The sequence below is a fragment of the Homo sapiens genome, chromosome 6 (genome assembly GCF_000001405.40).
Source record: "Homo sapiens chromosome 6, GRCh38.p14 Primary Assembly".
NCBI lineage: Eukaryota > Metazoa > Chordata > Mammalia > Primates > Hominidae > Homo > Homo sapiens.
In genome coordinates, this window is record NC_000006.12 from 65,987,028 (window position 1) to 66,001,428 (window position 14,401).

General features: G+C 37.2%; 1 long non-coding RNA gene across 1 annotated transcript; it reads right to left on the reverse strand.

The window, feature by feature from the left end:
• Window positions 1-2,443: 2,443 nt before the first annotated feature.
• On the reverse strand, window positions 2,444-11,619 carry LOC105377838 (uncharacterized). Its single transcript, XR_942651.2, has 4 exons — window positions 11,392-11,619; window positions 6,055-6,171; window positions 5,785-5,894; window positions 2,444-3,311 (listed from the first exon to the last, which is right to left on the reverse strand). It is a non-coding gene; the product is annotated as an uncharacterized LOC105377838 (long non-coding RNA).
• Between the last annotated feature and the right edge of the window lie 2,782 nt (window positions 11,620-14,401).

The following is a 14,401-nucleotide window of genomic DNA, read 5'->3' on the forward strand; positions in this document are numbered from 1 at the left end:
CACTATAGGGGGCAAGAGTACATATTCCTTACCTTGTTATATAAGTCTAATAGACCCGGATTTATCTTAAACATAATGTTACCGCGTTTGCTTGGGACTGACATCTCATAAACGAGAACTTAACACTTTCGTGTTACCACTTGAATGGGACATTTCCATCAAAATGGCTGATATGAATTCTGAGATGCAAATCCATGGGACAGTTATTTCTGTGAACCTGAATAGCCCCAGTGAGACATATTTTATTGTAGAAACTTGCCTATTGGTACCTGCTGGCTAATTGGACTAGATCCTATTATCTAGATCACTAAATTAGCTCCCATTTAATCTTTAACCAGACTGCCCTCTTTGTTCATCACAGCCACACTATTATTTCTGATTTAAGTTTTCTAGGGACCAGACAAGCCAAAAAGTCCAGAAAAATGTGTTAGAACTACAACCTTAGACAAAAAATCCCAGCTCTTGAAAAGGGCTGTGACCCTCCTTTCTCACTAAGTTCTCAAAATGGTACAAGTAAGAAAATGTAAAAGCTACATGTGCAAAAATATGAGAAAGAAGTTTTAAAAATAATGTTAAGATATTTAGTCACACTAAAATTATTAAACTATTTCTTTCTGTATCTCATTTAATAAAATATTATCCATAAATTTATTTCACAAAAGGATGCAGCATAATATGACATATTTAAATATACATCATTTAATAAGACAGTAATAAATCTTTATTTAAAGGATGCGACAGTTTTAGCTAAAATAAAAAAAATTCGCTTTAATCTTTCCTTATTTAAAGTGTTAGTACTTCATGGAGAGAAGTTTAGTGTTTCTTATATCTTTTGATTTAATGTTTTATTTTTCTGGCTCATTATGGTTATGGTTATGTTCTTTGAATATTTTATTGTTATTGAGGTCACTTCAATTATGTTTAGGGGACTTTTATTTTAAGAATACATTTCCAGTTTTACAGTGAGAATTAAAACACATAACAGATTCCATATAAAATATTTAAATTCCCAGCAAAATGATTAGTGTTTGGCCTTCAGTGCTTTATGAGAAGCTGTAGTACTTCAATCTATTAATATTCTGCCATATTTTCATATGGGAAATACATTCTTTTTTTAATTCTCTTTTTAGTATGTGCCAAGCACATAGCACAAAAAGAGAACTAGTTTCTCTGGGGAGTAACGAAGCCAAGAACATTACTTCATCAACTTTATGATGAACTGTAGCTTTCACATTAAGAGGCAAATTCTTCATTTCAAAACATTAACCCACAAAGTATTTAATAATTGAAGTCTGTGTGATTTAGAGTTAAGAAATGAATTAAGTACAAAAATAGATTTTTTCCTCACTTTCCTTTGATTGTGCCCTGGATTGATTGTTATTCATTTTAGAATCTTGCCTTTTAGGACTTTTTTCCAATAGAGTTTGAGAATTTCCAATAATAGCTGACTTCAATAGCATTTCCGTCTTGTGGAAATTATTTGTCAATTAAAATGCTCTTCATGAAATTGAAATTTATTTGCACTCTATGTCTACTGGAAGATTTGAGGAACTATTCTATTATTCTGTAATGAAGGCGCTTAAATAAATGTTAAGAAATCTATTAAAAACTTAATATAGCCTGGTGCGGTGGCTTACGCCTATAATCCTAGCACTTTGGGAGGCCGAGGCGGGCACATCACCTGAGCAGAGATGGCACCACTGCACTCCAGCCTGGGCAACAGAGTGAGATTCCATCTCAAAAAAAAAAAAAACCCTTAATATATTCCCATGGTGGAGCCTAGATTTGAACTCAGGGAGTCAAGCTCTATAATTAATGCTCCTAAATATTGTGTAGGAAACTCTCTTATTAGAGTAAGGCAGGAGAGATTGAATAAATCACAAATATACTGGAAATGTCATAAACCTATGATCTTTACTTTTTTGGAAAAGGTAGTTTCTCTGCTCTGTCTTCATGATTAAAAACTTCTCATTTCTCACTACTTTGCCAGCATCTAGTTCTCATGTGGAATAAGCTATTGTGTTGTCTTTATTATCCAATTTTGTTTTCTTACATTCTTTTACCCTCAAAAGGATTCTTGGTAGACATCTGATTTTATTCTTAGGTCCAGGTAATAATCAGGATGAGTATGAGACAGCTAGTAAAAGAAAGCAAGAGTGTTTCCACTGTAGACAGAAAAAAAAAATACTTTTTTTTTCCATGATGGTGGACTGAAGACATTGTTAGCATGTCTCTCCCACTTGGAAAGGCAAAATAGTGTGTAAAGATTCATGCTGTGAAAGAAACCACAGGCCTTTGGAAAGAACCAGTGGGCAACGGCCTAAACCACGAGCCAGAGGAAAACTGTGTGTCTCCATAGCATGTGAGAGAGAGAAACCGCTGCAGTGACCCACACTCCCAAAAGGGACTCAGGCATTTTAGGTCACAGAAGGTCTTAATCCAATATAGCAGTGGAGCTGATTTAGTGAGCAGTGGGGACTCTAAGAGAAGGAGTGGCATTGGGATAAGATTTGCATGCACTTTCAAACTCCAGTGGGACAGAGGGAAGCCATTCCAAATCCTTTCTCACAGGAGACCTCACGGAAATCTGCCAGCCAACTCATGATGTAGTCACAGGTTGAGAGAAGCATCAACTGAGCATTGAGACAGAATCATGACTGGGGACAAAACTCATTGGCCAGGACGGAAGGACGTGCAGGAAGTGTGCTATAGCCATGGGCACAGGAGCTGAGCACCTCTACTTCACTGGCAGATCAAGAGGGGCATGGCCTGAAACTCACAGTTTTTGTCTCCACTGGGAAGGCTTATGGCCTGGGGCAGTTTTGAGTTCTATGCGCAGGCTCCCTGGAACCAGCTAGTTGCGGCAAAGCACTGTGGGTGTGAGACCTGCCTTGCCAAGTACTTGGGAACTGAGTGGGGCTTACTGCCACCAGCTCCATTGCTGCTCCTCATATGGGTCTTTTGTGCAGTGTAGGCAGCAGCACTCCTCCCTGGAACAGTATTCCAGTGGTCGGGGAACTGCCTTCTGATCACCACTGGGGCCACTGCTTGAGCCTGTATATGGGGAGCCAGAGTGCAAACTTGCCGGACCCACCCGCACCCAGCTTTGTCCTTCCATCCATCCTGATAGCCTAACGTGATGGGCAGGTACATTTGGGAACTCCGTGGCCCCCCCATTGCCTGATACACAAGAATATCTACCTTGGGTAAAATAAGGCAGGCACAAATTCCACTGTTACCAACATAGCTGGTGCTCTTTGGCAAGCTCCACTTCCTGGCTGGAGGCCAACTGGCACATCCCATTACACCATCTGAAAACAAAATGACACAGTGCTCAGGAAGGAGAAAACATTTATGTGACCTCAACTACTGCCATTGCCTGCATTACCCTAGCCAACAAGGAGGTGTTGAGTATGTCCACGTGCCCAATACTACTAAAGCTGGCATTTGAGAAAGCCAACACAATAACGTTATTTATAACCAAGGAAAACTTACTTCTTGTCCACCCTCATCAGAGCTGGTGCTGGTACCTGCCACTGGGAGACTAGAGTACAGGTGACATCACCGGATCCCTTGCAGACATTCCCTAGGACCATCATAAGTATGGCAGCCCCACTGGGTGAACAGACCCAGAGAAGCAGCAGGATTACAGTAATCTGGCCGGCAAGGACTGCTACTTTTAGGGGAAGGGAGAGTAGACAACATTAAGGGAGACCCCGTGAGACAAAAGAAACCAAACTGCAGGCCCTGAGTCCCTGAACTTTCCACTTATGAGAAGTTTCTTACAGCAGAGGCACAGGTGCATTGCTGGGTTCAATGGGGAAGGTCTGCCCAACAATCAGGCAGCCCTGGTGCTCATGAAGAGTCTTGGAGAAGGGGAGTTCTCCCCCTCATCTACCACTGCAGACACAGTTGGGACTTCTCGCACAGGAGCTTGGAGTGGATAAACCTGTAGACAGCCCTCCTCGAACACTTCAGGGTGACAGCCTCCCCACAGGAGGAATGCCCTCCAGGTTCAGGCTTGCAGAAGAGGTAGCCTCACAACCCCTCACAACATGGAACACCAGCATTCCTGCAGCTGAAAAGAGGTGCCTGTCTGATCTGAATAGCTAAAACACTGAGTAAGGAGTGTGATTGGCAGGTGGATTGTTTTCTTGCTGGTTTGGAAGGAGAGCTGTAGTGGTGCCCTCTCTTCCACCTTAGAAGACCTCAGTGCATTTCATTGAGAACTTTCCCAGGCACCTCTGCCAAGGATGGAACCTTTGCCCACCATTTGGGTACTGCATTTACTGGCCTGCTTTAGCCACAGCTAGTTTTTACCTGTGGGCACTTCCTACTGGCTTGAAGCCTGAATTGTTCAACCTAGTTGTATTAGTACATTCTCATACGGCTGTAAAAGACTGCCTGAAACTTTTACCAAGGAAAGAGATTTAATTGACTCACAGTTCTGCAGGGCTAGGGAGGCCTCAGGAAATTTACAGTCCTGGTGAAAGGGCAAGCAAATATCTCCTTCTCCACATGATGTAAGGAAGGAGAAGTGCTGAGCAAAAGGGGGAAAAACCCTTATAAAACCAGCAGATCTCATGAGAACTCACTACCATCAGAACAGCATGCAGATAACCACCCCATGGTTCAACTACCTCCCACTAGGTTCCTCTCATGAGACGTGGGGATTATGGAAACTACAACTCAAGTTGAGAATTGGGTGAGGACACAGCCAAACCACATCACTAGTGAATAAAGTACTGGGAGAAATTTTGTTTTTTTTCAAATTGCACAATACTGAGTAATGAGATAAGCTTCATGAGACCTTTGCCATTCCAACTGCACAGGAGACAGTGAACTTGCTTTCACAACTAGTATATCACTGCTGTAACCAGCATCACTTAAACTACAAACAATATTTAATAATAATGCTTAGGAATGTGTACATTGGAGTACAATAATGAAGAAAAGAGAACTTATTACCCTCAAATTTGGATAATGACCATTGAAGAAGGAATCATAGAGGCTGTAACTAGCTAAGGACACAACAGGAGGCTCCAGGTTTTTGCAGTTTTCATTGTCATAATTTGGGTTGCTACGTGGTTGTTTGTTTTGAATAAATGGTTAATCTGCACTTTCACATTTTTTTGTACTTTCTACATGTGTTTTCTGACACAGAGGAAAAAAATGTAATTTTAATGTGCCCATTTTGATGAGCAGACAAACACAAAATTGACCAGAAAATGCGTTCATAGAGACAATGTCATACAAGGGTAAAGACTTACCTCTCACTCTAACACAAACAAAATTACAAAGAGACTTAAAGAAAAAAAAAGTTAGGATAGTATATTTCTTTATCCTTGCACTGCTATAAAGAAATACCTAAGACTGGGTAATTTATAAAGAAAAGAGGGTAAAGTGGCTCACAGTTATGCAGGCTGTACAGGTTGCATGGCTGGGGAGGTCTCAGGGAACTTTGAATCATGGCAGAGGTTGAAAGGGAAGCAGGCACATTTTACATGACCCAGAGCAGGAGGAGGAGAGAGAAGGGAGTGGTGCTACACACTTTTAAACAACTAGATCTCTTGATAACTCACTCACTATTATGAGACCACCACCAAAGGATCCAATCCTTTGATCCAATCACCTCCCACCTGGCCCCACCTCCAACACTAGGAATTATAATTTGACATGAGATTTGGTGGGGGGACACTGACCCATACCATATCAGATAGTTTAACGCTATCTGAATAAAAATGTAAAAAAATTCTTACCTTTCTAAAACCACATTATACTTACTTTTGGATGAAGATTTAAAAAGCTGATTTATTCTGAAAGTTTATTCACTAAGTTGAAGCTTGTATCTATTTTGCTGCCCTGCATCCAGTTTCTGTATTAGTTCACTGGTGCTGTCAAGACAAAGTACCACCCGCTGTGTAGGTTAAACAACAGAAATCTATTATTTAACAGTTCTGGTGGTTAGAAGTCTAAGATCAAGGTGTTAACAGAATTGATTTTTTTTTTTTCTGAAAGCTGTGAGGAAGAACCTATTTAATGGCTTTCTGTTACCTTCTGGTGGTTTGCTGGCAAATCTTGGTGTTCTTGGCTTGTAGAAGCATCACCCTGATGTCTGCCTTTATTCCCGCTTGACATTTTCTTTGTGTCTATGTCTGCCTCCAACGTTCCCTTTTTATAAGGACATTAATAAAGTTGAATTAGGGTACACCTTAATGACCTCATTTTATCTTCATGACCTTTGTAAAGACCCTATCTGCAAATAAGGTCACATTCTGAGGCACTCTGGCTTGGAACTTTAACATAGAAATTTTGAGGAGACACGATTTAATGCGTAACAGCTTTTTTTCCCCCTATATTTTCATCTGTCAACCTTTTTCTCCTTTGGTTCTGATCCAAACATATTTAATGGTTTCTTTTTTATTGTTCGCTCCTGCTACCACCTGTGTACTCACTGGCCTAATGTACTTGAGTTACATTTTATGCATGTTGAATTAAAATTATCAGCAACATTTTTAATCATCACTAAATCTCTTGTTATTTACTACTATAAATCAAATGAAAATTATTAAGATATTTCTCAAATTTCCAAAAGATAGATCTATGGTAGAAGAAAACTTCCACATAAGGACTTTACAGTTAATTAAATCAGCTAAAGCTGGTTCCCCTAATCTTCACTATAAACTTACTCTTACTCTGCTTGTCTAGTCATTAGTGATTATATGTATGTTTTCTCCCTTAAATGTATTTCCTCATCTCAAACTCTTAGTGCTTCTGAATTTAGCTATGTATTATCTATTGTTTTTGTTTATTTTTAAATTTGCTTATTATTTAAATAGAGGCAACAACCAAATTATTCCTTTATTTTGGGACCCATAATTTCATTAGAGCATAACATGCTAATTAACAGAGATGTATCTATGAGATCTCTTTATATAACACGTTTATGAAAAAGTAGGAAACGTTGTTATTTGGAGAAATGCTCATAGGACTTTGAGATGTACCTTGAAAACATTGCTACTGAGAAGTTAAGCATAATTACAAAGATCAACTTATTGTTATCAGAAACTGTTATTAACTATTTTGACAAGTCTTTATGTCTTAATTAAACTAGTATGTTAGAAATAACAAATTCTGCCACAGAATTTTAAATTCCACACAATGTATTATTTACTTAAGGTAAACGTATGCAATACTTCTGAAGTTATATTAATATTGTAATTTAGAATCTTATTTAAATAGCTGAAACTACATTGTCTCTGGTAGTGGAAAGAATCCTGTAAGAAAGATTTACCGCTATGGGGTATCTTATTGTTCAGAAAACTTTGCAAATAGACTTTATGAACCTAAAAATCCATAATGTATTTTGAATTCTGTAGAGAAAAGCACTGGGTCCATAGTAGAAATACAAGTGTTTTATTTTTTCAATATTTCTCAAAATATCCCCTGGGTTAGTCAATCAAAGATTTGGAGTATAGTGATTGGTAAAGAAAAAATTGAGTTACTTAACAAAATGCTGTGCCCTCTCCATGATATTTATTACCTCTCTGATAGAATTTATTTTTCTTCATTTATATTCACACAGAATAGTATACAGTTTTATTCAGCTTATGCATTATATTATTGCATGTCCTTAAGACATGATGATACTGTAAATGAGTATTGCTATCTGGTTAAAAACTAAATTGAAACTTATTTTTATTTCCTATGTAGAAAATAATGAAATGTCCTCCTTTCTCAAATTCCCGTTGTGGTCATTATGCTTTTGAACAGTCAATAAATGACGTATATACTATTCTGTTGACTATCATCGTCTTCTTATGTTTCTTAAAAGACTCTCAACACAGTTATATTGAAAATGTATTCTTCGTAAGAACAAATTTATTTTTATCAAATAAATACAATTTTAATAAATGTATTCTTTACCATTTATTCAAGGCCTTATTAGCATTCCTGTAAATAACAACTTTTCTATCTTTTCATAAACATGCATTATATAAATAAATAAATGTATTCTGAATAAAAATTAATCAGAATCCTTTGTAGGGTTAGGAAAGCATCGTTGCAAGTGTTAAGTTTGTTTACCATATTTTCTGGAAGGATTCTTGTTAAACTATTATTTTGTATTAATAAATATAATATGAATAATCAACTCTAAAATATTTCTAATCTCATTAAAAACTTTTTAAAATTATGCTTGTAGCAGAGAAGCGGAGGAAATGAGGAGATGTTAGCCAGAGGGTACACACTTGCAGTTATGTAGGATGAATAAGTCTACAGATCCAATGCATAGCATGAGGATGACAGTTGATAATATTGTATACTAAAAACTTGCTAAGAGGGTAGATTTTTGATGCTCTTACCACACACAGAAACAAACACACAGAAGGGAACTATGTAAGGAGATAAATAAGTTAATATGTTTAACTGTAGTAATCATTTTACTATGTGTGTGTATATGTGTGTGTGTACGTATATTAGAATAGCATGTTGAACACATTAAATATACAGTTGTCCCTCAGTATTCAGAGGGGATTGGCTCTAAGACCCCCAAGATAGCAAAATCCACAGATGCTCAAGTTCCTTACATAAAATGGTGCAGTATTTGCATATAACCTATGCACATCCTGCTGTATATTTTAAGTCACCTCTAGGTAACTTATAATACCGAATACAATGTAAATGCTATGTAAATAGTTGCACTTTAAAAATTGTATTATTTTTATTGTTGTATTGCTATTTTTTTTCCAAATAATTTTGACCTATGTTTGACTGAACACACCGATGTGGAACCCATGCATAGGTTCTACGTTATGCTTCATAACACAAGACAGAAATCTAAACCATGATTTGATGATGATGATGGGAAGGCCTACTTGTGATGCATACTTAATTTTATTATAAGCTTCTATTAACCCTCTAGATAATATCATTAATTAACGCAAGTAGCATAGCAGTATTCACTAACTTTATTGCACTATGATATCGTTATTAATTTGAAAATATGAACATTAAAGGATGCATACCCTTCTCTAAATACTTTTTGCTGTTTACTGGCTGTTGGATACTGAGAAACTTCTCAAATGCCTCTCAGAACTATGTGTTTCTCTGAAAATTTTGAATAACTATATTGCAATGTTAGTATACAAAGTAAGATTATCTGTATATGTATAAATATTGTGCATATTGTATATATATACACTTAATAAAGTATGGATGGCTTATAAACATAAAAGAAGTTCATTCTTTGAATTAGTCAATTGGTTATTCATTCTTTTATGTAACAGAGAGTTGTTGAGTTTTTTATTATCAGACAATCTGCCAAGCACCAAGGATAAAACATACAAGTCAGACATGGCTCCAGCAAATTGGCAAAGATAAAGATTACATCAGGAATGGAAGAAACAAGTGGGTGCTTAAGTTGATTTTATATTCTAAAGTGCTCACGTTATTGAAGGTTTACTGTATTCTGGGCCAAAAATTAAAAATATATAGTAAATTCATATCTGGAATTTCAAAGTAAGGCACCGTCATGTCAAATCTGAAGAGAAGAATGCAATGGGCATATAGCCCCTCTTTTAACTCCTCTTTTTGAAAATTCTATTGTCTATTTACATATCAAAAGCACTAAAAAGGCAAATAGTTCAGGTCAATTGCTGGAATATGTTGACTTTAAATCCGATTTAAGCAATTAAGTAGCAGTTATAGACATTAAATTTTAGTGAACAGGAAAGGTATACTAACTCTTTATGGCTTTAGCAAATAGTTTAATATGACCTACATTTACTGAATAGACAAGAAAGAGTATCCTCCAAAAGTGTTAGTCATTAAAATGTACATAATATACTTTATTTTAATAAATATTCACATTTGTGACTTTTTCAAGTTTTTTAATTCTCTAAATATCTTTCATCAACATGTCTTTATTGTTTGTAAGGGTTAAATATGATTTTAAAAATATTTTATAAATTCTAAATGCTAGCAATAAAAGTTATTATAATTGTTTGATGAAGTTAGCAGTTTACGTTCCGTAAAATTATAACACGTTATCATGATACTGTGGAATTGACTTGAGAGGAAGATAAATAGGACACCTGCCCATTCCTTGGATATCCAATCCAAGCTGTGAGACTCTGGGCAATTAAATTCATATCTTAGTCATGGAGATTATGATATCTACATTGAATGTAGTTGTGTAAGACAAATGAGAATCTAACATCATGTCTGCAGTGGAGAGTTTTATAAATACATCTTATCTCTTTTTTCCCCATGTTTTATATCTACGACATTTAGGCAGAAGTGATATTTATTCAACATATTGTGTATATTCATTCACCATATATAGCTTTGATGAGTTCTTATGACATCTTATTTTTTTCTTTTACACCTATCTAAACTAAATTCATGTTATTTTTCTTATTGTGATGTGTGCTGATCCTTATTATAATTTCTTCCTAAAAGTATTCTTTAAGTTCTGGCTTTTCACCCTAATTATGCTTCTGGGCAATATTGTTTCAGACCTACTGAGCTCCCATTTTTGATTTTGCTTATGTTCATTAATAGAATATCACAAGCATTTCTTTGTTGTCTCAGTTATCATAAAATTAAGATGCCTACTGGAAAATACCTAGTATTGTGTCCTTTGGTTACTCTTGACAGGAACTGTCTTGTTAAGTATTGTGCTACTTTCATTTCTCTTTGTTTCACTTCTCTTCATTATACCCTTGTTTGTGAAAGCAAATCCACAGACATTTCATTGAAACAGATTTTTAAAAATTGATCTGGGAGACAATCAGAAATATTTGAAGAAAACAAAATATCACTCTCTTGCTCTAAACTGTTCTGGTGTGCTAGATAATTATCAAACTCCTTATCAGGGCTTTCAAATGCAAACACATTTTGAAACTTCGTCTCACTGTATCTTTATGTATGTATTTGACCTAAGCCAAAGTGGTGTTTTCAGGTATCTCAAACTCAGTAAATATTTGCCCACCGCTATCTCTTTTGAAATGTTCCTCATTCAGTTAAGATTTTCTTTCTCACCCATATATAATCATCAGAACTTTATTCAGTTTGCTCTGAATAAAGCAATTTACAGTCTAGGGTACCTACATTCATAGTCAGTATATTTGGCTTGAGACCTCTAATAGATTTTAATATTCTGGAAATAATGTCACGTAATTTTGCATTGTTAAGTGCGTAAAGGGTGAAGTGCTTGTATTTGGCAGTAATGAATAAATGTTATTTAGAATGTTTCAGTGAATATGTTGGGCTACATTTTTGGGTTAAACACAAGTTTTAAAGACAAAGCAGAGAAATTATTTTGTAAAAGGAATGATCAATTAGACTTATATGATAAAGTATTTGAACATGAAGCAATTAAATACTTACATAAAATTTTAACTGTTCGAAGTTTTCTCTAATATGACAAGGATGCTTTCTCTTTTCCTTTGCATTGCATCAATGTAAACATTGTCAGTTCAAAATTAAAGCGTATAAAAATGGAAGTACAATTAATCTACCAACATTTCAAGTGAAATGTGTAGTTATAATCCAAAATAGCGTGTCCGGAATTTGTGGGTTCTTGGTCTCACTGACTTCAAACATGAAGCCGTGGACCCTCGCGGTGAGTGTTCCCATTCTTAAAAGCGGTGTGTCCGGAGTTTCTTCCTTGTGATGTTCAGACGTGTTCGGAATTTCTTCCTTCTGGTGGGTTCGTGGTCTCGCTGGCTTCAGCAGTGAAGCCGCAGACCTTCAAGCCGGGGCACCTGGAGCTGGCGCGCCTTGGAGCTGGCGCGCCTTTGGTCGTTCCTCCCAGTGGGCTTGTGGTCTTGCTGGCCTCAGGAGTGAAGCTGCAGACCTTCGCAGTGAGTGTCACAGCTCATAAAGGCAGTGCAGACCCAAAGAGTGAGCAGCAGCAAGATTTATTGCAAAAAGTAAAAAAACAAATCTTCCATAACGTGTAAGGGGACTGGAGTGGGTTGCCGCTGCTAACTCGGGCAGCCTGCTTTTATTCCCTTATCTGGCCCCACCCACATCCTGCTGACTGGTCCATTTTACAGAGAGCTGATTGGTCTGTTTTACAGAGAGCTGATTGGTCCATTTTGACAGGGTGCTGATTGATTGGTGCGTTTACAATCCCTGAGCTAGACATAAAAGTTCTCCAAGTCCCCACTAGATGAGCCAGACACAGAGCAATGATTGGTGCATTTACAAACCTTGAGCTAGACACAGGGTGCTGATTGGTGTGGTTACAATCCCTTAGCTAGACAAAGTTTCTCCAAGTCCTCATTAAACTCAGGAGCCCAGCCGGCTTCACCTAGTGGATCCTGTGCTAGCACCACAGGCGGAGCTGCCCCAGTCCGGCACCATGCGTGGGCACTCCTCAGCCCGATGGGACCGGCATTGCAGAGCAAGGGCAGACCAGGCTGCACAGGAGCCCACGGCAATGCAGGGGAGCCTTGTGCATGGCGGGCTGCAGGTCCCAATCCCTGCCCCACGGGGAGGCAGCTGAGGCCCGGCGAGAATTCAAGCGCAGCGCCAGCAGTGCCCAGCGCACTCTCCGCAGCTGCTGGCCCGGGTGCTAATCCCCTCGCCGCCTGGGGCTTGCGGTGCCGGCCAGCGGCTCCGAGTGCAGGGCCCGCTGAGGCCACGTCCACCTGGAACTCACGCTGGCCCGTGAAAGCACGCAGCCCAGGTTCCGCCCGCGCCTCTTCCTCTACACTTCCCAACAAGCAGAGGGAGCTTGCTCCAGCCTCAGCCAGCCTAGAGAGGGGCTCCCACAGTGCCGCGGGGGGCTGAAGGGCTCCTCAAGCGTGGCCAGAGTGGGCGCCGAGGCCGAGGAGGCGCCGAGAGTGAGCGAGGGCTGCCAGCACGCTGTCGCCTCTCAATAGGTAACTATTGCCTAATTAAGATTAAAAATATATAAAACTCCTTTTTCAAGAAACAAAAGTCAGTGTTGACACATTTTCTCCTTAATTTGCGTATTGAGAAGCTCTATGGATGTTTGTCTTATTCTAACAATCTGATTAACACATCTTGATATAATTTACTGTAGATGGTATAATATTCATATCCTTTTTCTCTTAATATTGCCTCTAAAATATCTATAGATTAAGCAGTCCCCAAATGGCTACCTAAAATCTTTCATTAAGCCGAATTTTCTCATTTAAAATGGCTTATATTTGCTGTTCAGGTAATTTTAAAACAGTTGCTTAAATATGAGCTAAATTGGTTGTTTCCCCATGGCTCTTTATTAATTAAATGACATATAAAGACTGGAATTAAGCATAAAAATTAGAGTCTACCCTGCCTCTAAGAAATAGATCTTTTTCTCTCTAATGAAAATCAGTCTGGGCAAACAACTACTGCATTGTGCTAGTAATCAGCTGAATTTTTCTTTACTCTTCATAAGATTCCTAAACTCCAAGCAACTTTAGAATCTGCTACTGGAATTCTGTAGGGTGTCAAAAATGATGATAATGATTGTTATGTTAGTTGTATGAATTTCTGATTTCAAACTTTATCAAGAAAACAGTCAGATAATAGGAATAAAGTTTCAGATACGTAAACCAGAGGGCTCGATAGTGTGTTGCAAAATTACATAGTATAAAGGTGTTACATCTAGCAATAAAATATAAATGGTCTACTTTCAAAAATAATGTTTTAGATATCAATATATGTATTGCATAATTTATTTTTGTGAAAAAATAGTTTTATTTATACATATATAAATATTAAATAGCTGATGTGTTTCTGTGCAGCTATTCACAGTTATAGTTTAAAAGAAATCTTAAACTAACAAACATCCTTTTTTAAATGATTAATATATCATGGGATAAATCTTATTTTAAAAAACAAAGTTATTTAAATCCATAATGTAATTTTAAGAAGAAAGTACTGTTCTTAATATTTTAATATTGAAACTTTACAGACTACAGACAAAAATGGAGCATATAGAAAGATGGATAGATGGATGAATGGATGGATGGATGGTTGGATGAATGGATGGATAGATGGATGGATAATAGGTAGATAGAAGATAGAGAATAGCTAAATAGATGAAAATAATACAAAGAGCATTAATTGCAAGGAAAACAATAATATCTGTTCACAGGAGAAAATAGAGTATTCTGTTCCTGAACTTTTTTTTTTATCTTCATACTAAATTATATGGGCTCATATATTTCATTTTAATTTTCTTCTATGTTATACAATTAAAAACAAAATAGTTTGTTCCTTTGTATTATTATTATTATAGTAAGAACACAACACAAAATCTAGCCTCTTTACTAATTTTCTAGTGGATAGCACACAGTATTGTTAAATATTGGCACAATATTGTAAAGCAGATCACTAGAATTTCTTCTTCTTGCGTAACTGAAATTTTATACTCAAACGG